The 17,681-nt window shown below is 47.9% G+C and overlaps 1 protein-coding gene across 7 annotated transcripts in view, besides 2 other annotated features; it reads left to right on the plus strand.

Moving 5' to 3' along the window:
- Positions 1-17,681, plus strand: part of AMZ2 (archaelysin family metallopeptidase 2) — a 51,036-nt gene that overhangs the window by 12,491 nt on the left and 20,864 nt on the right. The window contains exon 2 of one of the 7 annotated variants that reach the window (NM_001346472.1): positions 8,857-9,001. The exons of the other annotated variants lie outside the window; for them this stretch is intronic. The gene's annotated coding sequence lies outside the window, so the exon portion shown is untranslated. The remainder of the gene's footprint in view (positions 1-8,856; positions 9,002-17,681) is intronic. 7 annotated transcript variants of the gene reach the window in all.
- Positions 10,013-10,898: an enhancer, noted in NCBI's record as "H3K27ac-H3K4me1 hESC enhancer chr17:66224773-66225658 (GRCh37/hg19 assembly coordinates)". NCBI's record gives its function as "activates a minimal SCP1, AML or CMV promoter by ChIP-STARR-seq in primed H9 embryonic stem cells {active_cell/tissue: H9 hESC(primed)}" and the evidence as "EXISTENCE:reporter gene assay evidence [ECO:0000049][PMID:30033119]".
- Positions 17,029-17,088: an enhancer, noted in NCBI's record as "active region_12642". NCBI's record gives its function as "activates an Ori minimal core promoter by ATAC-STARR-seq in GM12878 lymphoblastoid cells {active_cell/tissue: GM12878}" and the evidence as "EXISTENCE:reporter gene assay evidence [ECO:0000049][PMID:35858748]".

Raw genomic sequence — 17,681 nt, forward strand, 5'->3', positions numbered from 1 at the left:
GCCATCAGACCTGTGTCTGAATTCCTTCTGTCCACATTCAGTTCTGTATGTCCAGCAGACTCCTGGACATGTCTGCAAAGCAGGCACCTCAAATGTGTTTAAAACTGAACTCATAATTTCCCCCCATTACCTACTCTTCATCTAGTGTTCTCATCTTAGTAAATGGGATTACTGTCCCACCAGCTGCTCAAGCTAGAAATATGAGAATAAACTTTTTCCTTTATTGTTTGCTATGCCTTTAAAATAAATATTGAATCAGTTTCTCTCCATTCCCACTGTCCCTCCGTGATACAAGCCAGTGTCATCTCGATTAGACTAGTCGGTCACCCCTAAAGTGGTCTATATGTAACCCCCTACCTCAACCCTCCAAGATTTATTTTTTATTTTTTGAGATGGAGTCTCACCCAGGCTGGAGTGCAGTGGCCCAATCTCGGCTCACTGCAACCCCCAAAAATTCAAGCAATTCTCTTACCTTAGCCTCCCAGGTAGCTGGGATTACAGGTGCACCTGGCTAATTTTGTATTTTTAGTAGAGACAGGGTTTCACCATGTTGGCCAGGCTGGTCTTGAACGCCTGACCTTGTAATCCGCCCGCCTCAGCCTCCCAAAGTGCTGAGATGACAGGTGTGAGCCACCGTGCCCAGCTGCATCAGCCTTTTTCTAACCGGCCTTCCCTTCCAGCTTCCTCCACTCTAGCTAAACTAGATGGCTTCTTTGCCCCACACCTCTCACCTCTTCTGTCTGGTTCTGTTTGCCACATGGCAAATCCTACTCATCCTTCAAGACCCAGTTCAAGGGAGGATATCCCAATTGCTATGCATCCTGGGCTAGAAGCAGTTCTTTCTCTGAGTACTTATCCCATGTTACTGCTTTTTCAGGGAACTTAAATCATTCCACATTACTGCTATTATTATTATTACTATTATTTATTGAGATAGGGTCTCACTCTGCCACCCAGGCTGGAGTGCAGTGGCACAGTCATAGGCCACTTTCGCTTTGACTTCCCAGGTTTAAGTGATCCTCCCACCTCAGCCTCTCAAGTAGCTGGGACCACAGTTACGCACCACCACATCTGGCAAATTTTTTTTTTTTTTTTGTAGAGATGAGGTCTCGCTATATTGCCCAGGCTGGTCTCTAACTCCTGAGCTCAAACAATCTGCCCACCTCAGTCTCCCGAAGTGCTGGGATTGTAGGCATGAGCCACCTCGCCTGACCTCTGTACCTTATTTTGAAGCTATTATTGTTCATAGATTCTTAGCTCCTCCACTCCACTGTGCTGTGAACTCGACATTGCTACACAGATGCTCCTGTTAAGCTCTTTGAGTGCCCATCAGATTCAATCTAATTCAAATCTCAATCAAATTGTGATGAGAATCTGACTGTGGAGGAGTGGAGAGAATGCCACCCTGCCAGTATGGAGACTGGCTCTCCAGTTTTATAGCATATGAATTATATCTCAATAAGGCTGTTCAAAGAATCTGAGACTTCAGTCACTCCACAAAGTTAGCAAAGAGATTAAAAGTAAATATGGCAAAATGTTAGCTTTTCTGAGTGATGGGAATCACAAAATATTTTGTCTTCTTTATACTTCTCTGTTTTCTAAATTTTCTACAAAGAGCATTGGTTACTTTTATATGAAGAAAAAACTTAATAAACATTTAGAGGCAGAAGATCAGCCCTGCATTTGACCTGCAAAGACTATGCCTCCCCTTGCTTTACAAGAGTTCACCTACTGCATTGATCTCGGTCATCACATGTGTAACTATTTGTCTTCCAGTCTGACTTCTAGATTAGACTGTAAGCTCCCGGAAGTCAGAGATCACTGTATTTGTCTCATTTGCCTCTGAATCCTCAGTCTAGTAGCTTGATGGGTATATACCCATCAAGTATAAGTGCTCAAAAAATGTTTGTAGAATTTAACTGAATTTGTTAAATGTCTACTATGTCACCCATGTGCTGGACACTTTGGGTGATAAGAAAATGATCCACTTATGGAGTTGAATTTAAGATGCTTCCAGTCCAGCAGGGGAGAAGACACAGGTGCATAAGTACTTAAGCCAAGATACCATTCGAGGGGACTAGATAAAATGCTCCAACCCTTCAGAGAAAGGCAATTCCTTCCATCTACGTGCAATCAGGGACACTTTTTTTCTTTTTCTTTCTCTTTTTTTTTTTTTTTTGAGACAGGGTCTCAATCTGTCTCGCCCAGGCTGGGGTGCAGTGGTGCGATCTCGGCTCACTACAACCTCCGCCTCCTGGGTTCAAGCGATTCCCCTGCCTCAGCCTCTGGGGTAGCTGGGATTACAGGTGCATGCCTCCACGCCCGGCTAATTTTTGTATTCTTTAGTAGAGACAAGGTTTCTCCATGTTGGCCAGGCTGGTCTTGAACTCCTGACTTCAGGTGATCCACCCGCCTCGGCCCCGCAAAGTGCTAGGATTACAGGCGTGAGCCACTGTGCCCAGCTGTTTCTTTTTCTTTTTTGAGGCAGAGTCTCGCTCTGTCACCCAGGGTGGAGTGCAGAAGTGGGATCACAGTTCACTGCAGCCTTGACCTCCTGGGTCAAGTGATCTTCCTGCCTCAGCCCTCAGCTCCCCCCCCCGCCCCCCCGGTAGCTAGGACCCCAAGTGCATGCCACCGTGCCCAACTATTTATTTATTTATTTAGTAGAGTCAGGGTCTCACTGTGTTGCCCAGGCTGGCAGGGATACTTTTGTGGAAGAGAAGGCATTTGGGCTGGGGCTTTAAAGATGTCTTTAATTTACCTAGACCTAAGATGCAGGAAAGGGTGCATGCCAGATGGTGGAACATTGCGTCAGTAAGAAAGCCAGAGGCAGGGCACGGTGGCTCACGCCTGTAATCCCAGCACTTTGGGAGGCCGAGGCAGGCGGACCACGAGGTCAGGAGATTGAGACCATCCTGGCTAACAGTGAAACCCCATCTCTACTAAAAATACAAAAAATTAGCCGGGTGTGGTGGCGGGTGCCTGTAGTCCCAGCTACTCCGGAGGCTGAGGTGAACAGAATCGCTTGAACCTGAGAGGCAGAGGTTGCAGTGAGCCGAGATCACACCACTGCACTCCAGCCTGGGCGACAGAGCAAGACTCTGTCTTAAAAAAAAGAAAAAAAAAAATTAGCCGGGCATGGCACATGCCTGTAATCCCAGCTACTCAGGTGGCTGAGGCAGGAGAATCATTTGAACCTGGGAGGTGGTTGCCATGAGCTGAGTTCGCACCACTGCACTCCAGACTGGATGACAGAGTGAGACTCCATCTCAAAGAAAAAGAAAAACAAGAAGCAGAATGACACGACCTCAGCGGTATTACAGTAATCCCAGTGAGGGTGACAAATGGCCAGAGGCTAGAAGTAAAGTTAGGGCTGCTGAGGTACAGGAAAAGCAAGATAGCTGAGCTTATACATTAGCAATGGAATTAGAAGGAGGTGAATGAAAAGGATACTTCAGGCAGAAAACTGGACGGAGCACTTGGAAGCAGCAGGTGGAGGGAAGAGGGTGAAACCCAGCAGGCTCCCCAGGTTTCTGGTGGAGCAACTGGATGGAGCCATTCCTGAAATAGGACGTCTAGGGGGAGAAACAGACTTGGGTGGGCCAGGTGGGCTCTGAGGGACATGCTCAGTCTGAGGTCCCTCTGGGGTATCTAACTGCAGCTGGATCTACAGGTCTCAAGCTCAGTGGAGAGGTCTGATAAATAAAAGCACAGAATGTAAGCTACACGCACAGTGGCTGAAGCCGTGGGTTGTAGGGAGATTGTTCTAGGGCAGTGGTCCCCAACCTTTTTGGCACCAGGGACTGGTTTTGTGGAAGACAATTTTTCCACGGACCGGGTGGGGATAGTGGATTTGGGATGATTAAAGCATATTACATTTATTTCTGTTATTATTACATTGTAATATATAATGAAATATATAATGAAATAATTTTACAACTCACCATAATGTAGAATCAGTGGGAGCAGTGAGCTTGTTTTCCTGCAACTAGACGGTCCCATCTGGGCTTGATGGGAGACAGCGATAGATCATCGAGCATTAGATTCTAATATGGAGTGCTCAATCTAGATCCCTCAAATGCGCAGTTCACAATAGGGTTTGCACTCCTAAGAAAATCTAATGCCACCGCTGATCTGACAGGAGGCGGAGCTCATGGTAATGCGAGCAATAAGGAGTGGCTGTAAATTCAGAGGAAGCTTTCCTCATTCACCCACTGCTCACCTCCTGCTGTGTGGCCCAGTTCCTAACAAACTATGGACCAATACGGGTCTGTGGCCCAGAGGTTGGGGATCCCTGTCCTAGGGAACTGACTTCCTAGAGTCAGGAGAGAAGTGGGCTTGCAGGAAACCTTGCCTTCAAGAGGAGGACAGAGAACTGTCCAAGTAGGAGCAGCAGAGAGGCGTGTGCTCTCGGAGGGAGGGGTATCAAGGAAGCCAAGGAGGAAATTGAGGAAGAGAGAGAGACAGAGACAGAGAAATAAAGCAAGTGGTAAGATATTAATTGTCCGTTATTCTAAGGTGTTCATGATTCTCTTCTTTCAAATTTTGTGTATGTTTGAAACTTTCCATCATAAAAAGTCAGAAAGAATAAGGAGATCATGCCCTCATTGGGGAAAGGTTGTAAACATAGTCAGTTTCGAAGACTGGGCTTGAGTAGAGTCCACACCAGAAGGCATGAAGGACTGAGTTATGCTGGATCCATGACATCAAGATCTTTCATCTCAGCCAGAAGCCCCTCGTGGCCTCATTATAATGAAGCCCTGCGGGGCAGCGCTTTCTTGCCAGCCTTACTGTGCTCCATTTCTTTAATGGCCTTTTTGCTCAACAGTACAAGAGATCCAAACTGCTGATTCCAGCATAAGACATAACTCACTACATTTTTTTCACTCAAGCCTTCAATTCTAACTAATGGATTTTCTTTTCTTTTTTTCTTTTTTGAGATGGAGTTTCTCTCTTGTTGCCCAGGCTGGAGTGCAGTGGCACGATCTCAGCTCAATGCAACCTCTGCCTCTCGGGTTCAAGTGATTCTCCTGCCTTGGCCTCCCAAGTAGCTGGGATTACAGGTGCCTGCCACCATGCCTGGCTAATTTTTTTGTTGTTTGTTTGTTTGTTTTGAGACGGAGTCACGCTCTGTCACCCAGGCTGGAGTGCAGTGGTGTGATCTTCGCTCACTGCAACTTCTGCCTCCTGGTTTCAAGTGATTCTCCTGCCTTGGCCTCCTGAGTAGCTGGGATTACAGGCGTGCACCACCACACCCAGCTAATTTATATATATATATATTTTTTTTTGAAACGGAGTCTCGCTCTGTCGCCCAGGCTGGAGTGCAGTGGCACCATCTCAGCTCACTGCAAGCTCTGCCTCCCGGGTTCACGCCATTCTCCTGCCTCAGCCTCCCGAGTAGCTGGGACTACAGGCGCCCGCCACCACACCCGGCTAATTTTTTGTATTTTTAGTAGAGATGGGGTTTCACTATGTTGGCCAGGCTGGTAATTTCTCTATTTTTAGTAGAGACGGGGTTTTGCCATGTTGGCCAGGCCGGTCTCGAACTCCTGACCTCAGGTGATCTGCCAGCCTCAGCCTCCCAAAATGCTGGGATTACAGGCGTGAGCCACTGTGCCCGCTAATGGATTTTCTAGAGAATTGCTGTGCTGCATTTTTCTTTTATTTTGTAAGATTCTTTAAGGAATGAGAGTAGGGTGCTTCTGTGATCGGTAAACAAGAACATGGGCTTTACCATAAGAGGGACTTGGATTCAAATCCAGGCTTCTGTGTTTACTGAGCTGTGTGGCCTTAGGCAAATGCCAGCCTCTCTGCGTGTTGCTTGCCTTACCTATAACACCTATGCGGCAGTTTCAGTTTATTGTTAAACATCAAATGCAGAAACTGCTGCAGTGCCAGGCATGGGATAGGAATTGGGGGTAGCTTTTTTTTTTTTTTTTCCCTAGAGACAGGGTCTCACTCTGTTGCCCAGGCTGGTGTACACTGGTGCAGTCATAGCTCACTGCAGCCTGCTGGGCTCAAGTAATCTTCCAGTCTCAGCCTCCCCAGGAGTTAGGACTACAGAGGCGTGCGACAACATCTGGTTAATTTTTTTAAATTTTCTTAGAGTTGGGGTCTTCCTATGTTGCCCGGGCTGAGGGGCAGCTATTTTTATTTTTATCTGCTTCTTTTTCACTCCCTTTTTTTTGCCTGCCTTCTTTCCTCTCTATCTATCATCCTCTTTGTTTCATTTGGGTTTTTGCTTTGGCAGTTTCCCCCCAAAGAAACTGGAAACCAGGCTGGGCGTGGTGGCTCACACCTGTAATCCCAGCATTTTGGGAGGCGGAGGCGGGTGGATCACCTGAGGTCGGGAGTTCGAGACCAGCCTGGCTACCATGGTGAAACCCCGTTTCTACTAAAAAAAAAAACACACACACACAAAAATTAGCTGGGCATGCTGGCGTGCACCTGTAATCCCAGCTACTCAGGAGGCTGAGGCAGGAGAATTGCTTGAACTTGGGAGGTGGAGGTTGCAGTGAGCCAGGATGGAACCACTGCACTCCAGCTTGGGTGAAAGGTGACACTCTGTCTTAAAAAAACAAAAACAAAACTGGAAACCAGTGTGTGAAATTGACGGGCTGTAGCATCACCTTTGCCACCCTGCAGTGATAGAGGAGCTAAAAGTCCCCTGAGAGAGCAGTCGTGTTGATGGTGGTTGAAGTGGGAGGGTGGAAATGGAGAAGTTCAGCCTTATATTAATAGGATCTGTAAGTAAAATTCACAAGCACCCCACCCGTGTGGTTGGCTGAGCACCACAGGTGTAAATTATTATTAACTCCATACCCAACAGAATTCAGCTCTCCTCTATTTTTACTATAGGAAAACACACAATAGCTGTGTATTTTGATTTTTAATTTTTTTCTTTTTCCCTCTGTGACTCAAGCCGAAGAGCAATAGCTATTTTTTAAAGTTAGCATTGTGTTCAGGCACATAGTAAACATTCCTCAATGGTGAGAATTTTAATATTCTTTTCTTTTCTTTTTTTTATTTTTTGAGATAGAGTCTCACTCTGTTGCCCAGGCTGGAGTGCAGTGGTGTAATCTCGGCTCACCATAACCTCCGCCTCCCAGGTCCAAGCCTCAGCCTCCCAAGTAGCTGGGATTACAGGTGCCCACCACCATGCCCAGCTCATTTTTATATTTTTTAGTAAAGATGAAATTTCACCATGTTGTCCAGGCCGGTCTCGAACTCCTGGCCTCAAGTGATCCACCCACCTTGGCCTCCCAAAGTGCTGGGATTATAGCATGAGCCACTGCACCCAGCCTTAATGTTCATTTTTCAGCATGTAATTAAGGCAAGATTAATAGAAAATGGGGTCCCAGATTGCCTCGCCCCAACCCCATCTTCTTTTGGCTTTTGGAGTATGAAAAGGGGGACGTGCTGTGGTCTCTGCCTGAAGCTGGCTCGCCCGGGAGCCCTGCCGGACCCGTAAGGAGGAGAACAAACCCTGGCAAATCCGACTGGCCCGAAGTGGATTTGCTAGAGTGACAGGCAGCAAAATTAATTCAGTAAGGCATTCGTAAGTGTATCACTTCACAAAGGAGTCAAAACTGCAGGAATCTGAACGAAAAGATGCCAAGCAAAAGGACTGGGAGAAGACCTGCCTACTATGTACATTTGACTCTGTTTTGTGCCTTAAGAGTTACGTGAGAGGCTGACTCTAACGTGGTTAGAATGGAGAACCCAGGGAGGCTTCCTTCAGGACGAAGAGTGAGGAGGGAAAGCTGCCAGGATGCAAGGCTGCTCTGGCAACAGGTTCTTCTCTCCTGCCCCCCAGCCCCTGCGTCTCTTTCTCTGTTGTCCAGTCCTCTACAAATTGTCCAGCCCACTGCAGGGAGCCAGTCTGATGGATTCAATAGTTTGCCCCATTGGAGGGAGTCCTCATGGGCCACCTGTCAGCCAATGGACCTATTCTGGTCAAGTGTCCTCCCCTGATCTCCAGTGACTTAGGTGGCACCCAGTCTGGCTTGCCTGGCCACCTCCCACCTCTGGTGGAGGGCAGGCATCATGCATGTGTTTGGAAAATACATTTGATTTTAGAGTTTAATTCTGGACAGTGGTCTTGGGACTGTCTTCAATAGCAAGGATCATGTGACCAAGTCCCCATTTCTTTTCACATTTCAGCTGCCTAATTTACTCCTAAAATGTACTCTGTGTGCTGGGTGGGGAAATTCTGAACTGGCTTCTGATTCTGGCTCTAACATCAGGGGACCAGCCTTAAGACTTGGAGCAAGCTGCCACTTCCTAGGGTCCCAGTTTGCTGCCCTGTGGCACAGCAGGGTTAGGAGGGAGGAGCACAAGCTAACCTGCCATCACCCCGTGGCTGAGTTGGGATTTTGAACTGCTGTTGTTATACATAATAACTTCTATGGCTTCGGGCACCGAGAGAGGGAGGCCCTAATTCCTTTACCAGAACTGGAACCCTTGTGTACATAATAACATTTTTAGGAATCTATGTTCATAGCTGGGGACAGAGTGGCAGAATGGTGAAATGTTCCCACTGGTGTCACACCCATCTCAGCGAGAGTCAGCCTTTGTCACAGACCTGCTCCGTGACCTCGGGAAGATGATCTGACCTCTCGACACCTGGTTTTCCTCCTCTGGGAAGTGGGGATACTAATAGGTCCTCCCCCCTGGCTTATTGGAGGAGTAAGAGGCAACACATGCAAAGCAGTTAACCAGGAGCCTGGGTAGGGACCTGGCTGTGAGTTCAGAGCCTGGGATTTGTGGGATGGCCAGTGTATGCACTTCCAGTGACTGCTGGCATTACCACAAACCCTTGGTAGATTAAGACAACAGAAATCTACTCTCTCACAGTTCTAGAGGCCAGAAGTCTAAACTCCTTACTGCTCAGTTGTGCACTGGCTGCGGGCTCCAGGGGAGAATCTGTTCCTGGTCTCTTCCAGCTTCTGGTGGCCAGCCGCATTCCTTGGCTCGTGGCTGCATCGCTCCAGTCTTCAAGGTCAGCATCTTCAAATCTCTCTCTGCTCCATCTTCACACGGCCTTCTCCTCGGTGTGTCTGATATCCCTCTGTCTCCCTCTTACAGAGATACCTGCATTGGCCAGATGCAGTGGCTCACACCTGTAATCCCAGTGCTTTGGGAGGCTGAGGTGGGAGGATCACTTGGGGCCAGGAATTGAAGATTATGCTGGGCAACATAGTAAGACCCCGTCTCTACAAAATAAACAGAAAAGAACTGTATTTAGGGCCCACCCATGTAATCCAGGATAATCTCCTTCCATGTCAAGACCCTTACTTAATCACATCTGCAAAGACCCTTGTATTCACAGGTTCTGGGGATCAGGGTGTGGATATATTTTGGGGAGGGAGACATTTCCAGCCTGTCACACCCAGCTGCGGGGGACATGTTCAAGTTGGCTGTCCTTTTTGCCTCCACTGCCCGTTTGCTGTGGAGTTGTGCCCTTGTCTCCTTCAAGCTCCCCTAGCCGCCCACACATCATCTTTCCTGCCCGAGCTCAGCTCCCCATCCTGAGACTTCCTATTTCTGCCCACAGCCACATCATTTTCTCCACCATCCTCCTCAGAACTATCTTTGACCCCTGGTGCTCCTACCCTTTCCTGATGCCACTCCACCTACGCCTTACATCAGTCACCAAATCTCAGCATCACAGTCTGACCAAAAGGGAAACTTCTCATCTGACTCCTCTGATGCACAGAGATGGAGCTGAGCCCTAGAGATAGGGAGTGACTTGCTGGGGTCACATGGTGATTTCATGGCGAGACTGGACCACAGCCCAGGCCCCTGGGATCCACTCCTACCCTGACTGCCCATCGGCAAAATGCTTCCTGAGGACAAGGCTCTCTCCATCCTTCTGTCCCTTCCTGAGCCCTGCCCTTGCCTCCCCTCCTTGGGAGGCTGCGGAAGCCTCGTGGGCCTTCTCCAGCCAGCCACTCTGGCCACTCCAGCATTCCTTTCGCTGCTTTCATTTGGGTCACCCCTGTGGAGATAGCTTCAGTGTTTCCCAGTGACCTAGAAGCAAAGTCCATCTGTTGGCAAGCATTTATTGAGCATCTATTATTATGTGCTAGGGGCTGGGGAGCCCAAGATGAACCAGGCATAGGCCCAGCCTTCAATCAGCCTGGCCCATATGCTGCCTTGGCCTGGCATTCACATTTCCACCTGCTCCTCCTGCCTGCTACACCGACCCACCACTGCCTCAAGCAGCCTACATCCACAGCGGGATGCCTGCACTGCTGCTTCCGCGTGTGCTGGCCTGTTGGCCCTGTGTGTGTAGTATCCTGGCCCCGTCAAGAGCTTGTGCTGTCTTCAGTGCCCTGAAGTCAGCCCCTCTGCATGCACGCCCTTCTGCAGCCCTCTGGCCTCCGTGGCCAGGTGGCGAGTCCTGTTTCTGTCCTGGGTTAACTGAAGCCTTGGCAGCTGCCCTTGCTGCCTCATGGGGTGTTTTTTGGCCTCTATCCCTCTCTCCCTCCACTCCACCCTCCCTTTTTGCTACCGCCTGTCTCTTCTGGTTTTTGCTATTGCCTGGAAGGTAGGGGACGTCACGGTGCTTTGTGCAGTAGAGGTAGCCCTGATTCCATGGCACTGACACCCCCACCTCAAACGCAGCCCCCCATGATGTTTCCTCTCTGGGGAAGCACAGCCGTGGCTGAACAGACACAGGCGAGCCCCTCAGCCCGGGTGCCTGTCCCCACACCCACCCAGGATCCAGAAACCTGGGGCCCTCACAGGGAGTTCCTGCTCAGTCCCCAACAGGAAGTGTTCCTGCCTGTGCTAGAACTGGGCATGTCCTTGCTTTCGACCCTGAGAAACCTGTCTGGCTGGAAGGCACAGATGCCTAACATTTTGAGGGACATTTTACTTTTCCTGAGAGTTTGAGATTTTATTACCTATGGCTACATAACAGACTACCCAAAAGCGAGGTACCTTAAAAACAACCAAAATGCTATTTGCCCACAAATCTGTGGGTCTGGAATTTAAACAGGGGATACTGGGTGCTGTTCCCTGTCTGGGGAGCATCACCTTTACCTAGACATTGGTTGCTTTGCTTAAACATTCCTGATCTTTTGCATACCCAAGAATGAGTTCCATGTTAACTTGCATCTTGCACACCCAGGAATGAGTTGGAGATGTGGCTTCACCACCCCCATGTCAGGGGTCCGGGCTGGTGTAGCTCCGGAGTCCGGAGGATGGCTGGGTCAGCTTGAACATGTGCACGTGTTTGGCTGAGCTTCTCGTTCTCCTCCATATAGTCTCAGGGGCCTCTCACTCTCCACGTGGCCTCTCTAACAGGAAAGTAAGGCCCGTTACCTGGTGGCTCAGGGCTCCCAGGACTACAAATGTGGAATCCACCAAGATATCCTAAGGCGTAGCCCTAGAGCTTTGCAGTCTTCAAAGCCCAGCATCTGTCCCTGTCCTGTTTTTTTTGTTTTGTTTTGTTTTGTTTTTTGGGATGGAGTCTCCCTCTTGTCGTCCAGGTTGGAGTGCAGTGGCGTGATCTCGGCTCACTGCAACCTCCACCTCCCAGGTTTAAGCAGTTCTCCTGCCTCAGCCTCCTGAATAGCTGGGATTACAGGTGCCCACCACCATACCTGGCTAATATTTGTATTTTTAGTAGAGATGGGAGTTTCACCATGTTGGCCAGGCTGGTCTCGAACTCCTGACCCCAGGTGATCCACTCGCCTCGGCCTCCCACAGTGCTGGGATTACAGGCATGAGCTTCTGTGTCCGGCCTCCTGCCCTGTTCTTCATCCAGCACCCTGAAGTGAGCCCCTCCATGCGTGCCCCTTGGCACAGCTGGCACAGTGTCATCTCTGTCACCTTCTGTTGTTTCAGGCAGCCCAGATTCAGTGGAGTGATCTATAGAGGGCATGAATACCAGGAGGTGCATTTCACTGGGGGCTACCACTGTAACAGATGACTACACATGTCCTATCTTTCCAGGTGGAGTCTAACTCTTCAAGGGATGCAGGGATGTGTTCTATCCCACAGCCCCTTTCAGAATGGCTCACACCTAGGAGTTGCTTGATCTATATTCATTTTATTAAGAAGGGAACAGGGAGATCACAGATGCCATGGGGGCATCTTGGAGGGCCTCTCATGCTGCTTACCCCTTCCTCACCAAGCACTTCCCCTGGCATTGGCTGGAGGGAAAGGTAGCCATTTGGGCTACGTTTGATAAATGAGAAAGCTGAGTCTCAGTGAAGTTTTTAGTTTATACACTTGCCAAGGACCAAATGATAAATTGGCAGATTGAGGTTGAAAGCCTAGTTATGCTCATTTTTTATTGAAAACTAGGGAAATAAATTTACTTTTCAGAAATTCATTTTCAGGTAAATTTCTCTGAATGCATCTAACCTGTAGGGCAAGACATATATGTATTTTTTACATTTTAATTTTATTATTTTTTTATTTTAATTTTTAATTTCTTTTTTTTTTCCCAAGACCGGGTCTCCCTTTGTCGTCCAGGCTGGAGTGCAGTGGTGTGACCATGGCTCACTGCAGCCTGGACCTCCTGGGCTCAAGTGATCCTCCTACCTCAGCCTCCCGAGTAGCTGGTACTACAGGAATGTGCCACCACGCTCGGCTAATTTTCTTGTATTTTTTTTTTAGTAGAGAGGGTTTTCTCCCATATGGTCCAGGTTGGTCTTGAATTCCTGGGCTTACATGATCCACCTGCCTCAGCCTCTCAAAGTACTGGGATAACAGGCGTGAGCCACTGTGCCCAGGGGCTTGTGTTTGACCAGACATCACTCTCTGTGAGTCATCCAGCACTAGTTAAGTTGGAATGAACAAAACTAGCCATGAAATTGTGGCTTCTTGTATCCTAAAGGTCAAAAAAGAAGTCCTGCTTCAACATTACTAAGAGGTAATATAATTTTTTTCCATCAAATATAAACTTAAAGAGAATTTTTCTGCAAGTCTTCTCCCATTATATGCCCTCATGTGTGTTAGGCAGTGCATGGTGGGAAACACATAAGTAGTAGTACGAGTTTTCCTTGCATGGGGACATACTTGCTATTTGTGTGGTATGTGTCTTTTTAGCATACAGAATTACCTTTCTTTTCTTCTTGAAACTGTGGATAGGTTACATGAGCAATCATGAGGTCACCACCACCTCCACCAATTTGGAAATTAGGGAACTAGGATTTCCCTTGGAGAGAGGGTGGTCAGGTTTTACAAATAAAAATACAGGGTGCTTAGTTAAACAGAATTTCAAATGAACAACAAATCACTTTTAATGTAGGTATATCCCATGAAATTTATGGGACATGCTTATACTAAAAAATCACTCATTGTTCATCTGAAATTCTGATGTGACTGAGAATCCTGTATTTTTTTGGCAATTACAAAACTAAAACTGTAGAACCAATGCATATGGATTAGAAGAAATATAAAGTTCTAATGTAAAGAAATGTAAGGTTACCTTAAGAGATCAGAATGTGTTCTTTAGCAAGACTTGATTACAACTGAAGTTTGTAAAAAAAAAAAAAAAAAAAAAAGGTATATTTACAAAAACACTTCTAACCTCTTGTAAGGTACCTTAAGAACGTGCCAATCAGAAAGGGGGTTAGGGCTGGACGTGATGTCTCACGTCTATAATCCCAGTGCTTTGAGAGGCCAAGGTTGGAGGATCACTGGAGCCCAGGAGTATGAGAGCAGCCTGGGCAACATAATGAGACCCCATCTCTACAAAAAAATAAAAATTTTCTGGGTGTGGTGGCCTGCATCTCTAGTCCCAGCTACTCAGGAGGCTAAAGCAGGAGGATTGCTTGAGTCTGGGAGTCTGAGGCTACAATAAACCGTGATCACACTGCTGCACTCGAGCCTGGGTGACAGAACAAGACCCTATCTCAAAAAAAAAAAAAAAAAGAGATTGATCAACAATAGAAAATGAAAGGTCAAAGGAAAACCTTTGGGCTGGGTGTGGTTTTGGATCATGCCTATAATCCCAGCACTTTGGGAGGACAAGTGGGTGGTTCGCTTGAAGTCAGGAGTTCGAGACCAGCCTGGCCAACATGGCGAAACCCCATCTCTACTAAAAACACAAAAATCAGCTGGGTGTGGTGCTGCATGCCTGTAATCCCAGCTACTTGGGAGGCTGAGGCACGATAAATTGTTTGAACCTAGGGGGTGGAGGTTTCAGTGAGCTGAGATTGCACCACTGCACTCCAGCCAGAGCAAGACTCTGTCTCAAAAAAAAGAGAGACAAACTTTGTTCATTCTCCTCAACACCATCTGGAAGCATCAACTTCCAGGCTGAGATGGCTTGGATCTTATTGTGGAGATGCACTTGCCAAGTGTCTTAGTCAGCTTGGGCTGCTACCACAGAGTATCACAGGTTGGGTGGATTACACAACAAGCATTCATCACTCACAGCAGAGGCTAAGAAGTCCAAAGTCAAGTGTCAGCATGGTTGGGTTCTGGGGAGGGCTCTCTTCCTGGTCCCCAGATGGCCAGCTACATGTTGTGTCCTCACATGGCTGGGACAAAGAGGATGCACCAAACTTTGAGGGGTAGGGACCATTAGGGTCATCAACTAATTACCCATGTTTACCAAGAAAGCTTGTTATAAATTGGCTTCCTGGCTGGGCGTGGTGGCTCACGCCTGTAATCCCAGCACTTTGGGAGGCTGAGGCAAGTGAATCACCTGAGGTCAGGAGGTCGAGACCAGCCTAGCCAACAAGGAGAAAGCCCGTCTCTACTAAAAACGTAAAAATTAGCTGGGCGTGGTCGTGGGCATTTGTAATCCCAGCTACTCGGGAGGCTGAGGCAGGAGAATCACTCGAACCTGGGAGGCGGAGGTTGCAGTGAGCCGATACCGCACCACTGCACTCTAACCTGCCGACAAGAGCGAAACTATGTCTCAAAAAAAAAAAAAAAAAAAAGAGAGAAATTGTCTTCCCCTGCCTCCTGGGAGTGAAGGTGCTGATCTATGAACCTATGTCCCCAGCCCTCTGAGGGTGATGATTCAATACAAAGCCATTGGGGTTTTTCTACATCATTCTCTCTATGAGCTTGGATGTTACAAGGGTGGTCCATTCTTTTATTTATTTTTTATTTTTAATTTATTTTTATTATTTTTATTTATTTTTTTTTGGGACAGGGTCTTGCTCTGTTGCCCAGGCTGGAGTGCAGTGGCATGATCTTGGCTTACTGCAGCCTCAACCTCCTGAGCCCAGGCGATCCTCCCACCTCAGCCTCCTGAGTAGCTAGGACCACAGGTGCACGCCACCACACCTGCTTAAGCTGATCCATTCTTGCTGTGCTGGGTCACCCCCAGGTGACACTCAATGTCAATAAGTCGTGTTTTATTCCAACAACTACGCTTTGTTTTTCTGGATTGCTACTACAGCAAATCGTAGATTCCATTTCTTCAGCATATAAATGTGTAACAAGAACAAGTAGCATTCGGGCTCGGTGGCTCACACCTGTAATCCCAGCACTTTGTGAGGCTGAGGCAGGCAGATCACCTGAGGTCAGGAGTTCGAGACCAGCCTGACCAACATGGAGAACCCCTGTTTCTACTTAAAATACAAAATTAGCTGGGTGTGGTGGCACACTTTGGGAGGCTGAGGCGGGTGGATCACTGGAGTCCAGGAGCTCAAGACCAGCCTGGGCAACATAGCAAGACTCCATCTCTAAAAAAAAAATTAAGATTAACCAGGTGTGGTGGCACATACCTGTAGTCCCAGCTACATGGAGGCTGGGGTGAAAGGATCGCCTGAGCCCAGGAGGTCAAGGCTGCAGTGAGTGCACAGCCTGGGCAACGGAATGTGACCTTGTCTCAAAAAAAAAAAAATCACTGCATTATTTTAATAAAAACATGTATCTTATTGGCTGGGTGCAGTGGCTCATGCCTGTAATCCCAGCACTTTGGGAGGCCGAGGTGGGAGGATTGCTTGAGCTCAGGAATTCAAGGCCAGCCTGGTTAATATAGTGAGACATCTATACTACAATTCAAAACAACAATAAAAAAATTAGCTGGGCATGGTGGCACACACCTATAGTCTTAGCTACTCAGAGGGCTGAGGCGGAAGGAATGCTTGAGCCCAGAAGGTCAAGGCTAAAGTGAGCCCTGATGGTGCCATTGCACTTCACAGAGTGAAGAGTGGGTGACAGAGTGAGACCCTGTCTCAAAAAAAAGAAAAAAAAAAAAAAGATAGCTAGGAGACCAGCCCGGCCAACAACATGGTGAAACCCTGTCTCTAGGAAAATACAAAAATTAGCCGGGCATTGCGGCGGGTGCCTGTAATCCCAGCTACTCCGGAGGCTGAGGCAGGAGAATCGCTTGAACCGAGGAGAGGGAGGTTGTGGTGAGCCGAGATTGTGCCATTGCACTCCAGCCTGGGCAACAAAAGCAAAACTCCAATCTTAAAAAAAAGAAAAAAGATAGGTAGATAGATGTATCTGCAAATGATTCCTAGGAGCAGCCCAGGCCTAGAGAGTGAAACCACTCATAGTGACTCACATCAACAGGCCCTTTTGTCAGCGGGCATTTCCGTAATTAGAACTTGTGACCAACACATCCAACCACGAGGATATATCACAAGTACTTGTCTCCAGCGCTGGTTTCTTAGCAAAAAAACAACTTGTTAAATGTCAGGGCTTTGTGTTTTTGCCTTTGGGCTTTTGCCATGCCTGGTTATTGGGCACCTTCTGGTAATAAACAGTTGAAAGGAGCTGTTCCCATGTCTTATTTAATTCTCTCATTAAGCCTGTGGGCCAGAGGTTCTTATTGTTCATACCCCTGGATAAACACACTGAGTCCCAGGGAGGTAAAGTGCCTTGGCTGAGGGCCACCCAGGAGCTGGTGGTGCCTCAGCTGAACCCAAGTCCACAGACCGTGGAGTTCGCGCCCTCTCACTGTGGCACACGGGCCTGAGCCTCAGGAACACTGCAAAGTAGGTTGGCTTCCCCCTTACGGAGCCCCTATCCGGGACAGCCTCAATCCCTCAGGGCCCCTCTCGGTGCCTGCTTGGCTGACTGGGCAGCCCAGAGAGAACAGTGACCCAGAAAAGCAAGAGGAGAGTTTCCAGGAGGACAGAACACTGGTGCTATCAGGTGCCAGGAGCAGCGTGTGCCACGTGTGACCCTGCTCTGCTGTGGCTTTTTGGTACGTGCTGTGCCCTCAGCCTGGGCTGCCGTGGACTGGCCGTCCCTACCCCTCCAAGACTTAGCCCAAAATCTTACTTTTTTTTTTTTTCGAGATAGTTTCTCACTTGGTCCACCAGGCTGGAATGCAGTGGCACAATCTTGGCTCACTGCAACCTCCATCTCCCGGGCTCAAGCGATTCTCCTGCCTCAGGCTCCCAAGTAGCTGGGATTATAGGTGCCCGCCAGCATGCCTGGCTAATTTTTGTATTTTTAGTACAGATGGGGTTTTGTTACGTTGGCCAGGCTGGTCTCGAACTCCTAACCTCAGGTGATCCACCCGCCTCGGCCTCCCAAAGTGCTGGGATTACAGGAATGAGCCACTGCATCTGGTTTCCAAAATATTACTCTTTTCCCCAGAATGGAAATACAATTATTATTCAAAATATAAGAGTAATCTTAAAAAAATGTTTTAAAACGTTTTATATATACATGTAAAATTTATATGCACATTATATATATCAAATGTGTGAATATGTATTTTTGTGTTTATAAACACTTAAACT

This window comes from Homo sapiens, chromosome 17 (assembly GCF_000001405.40).
Source record: "Homo sapiens chromosome 17, GRCh38.p14 Primary Assembly".
Taxonomy (NCBI): Eukaryota; Metazoa; Chordata; class Mammalia; order Primates; family Hominidae; genus Homo; species Homo sapiens.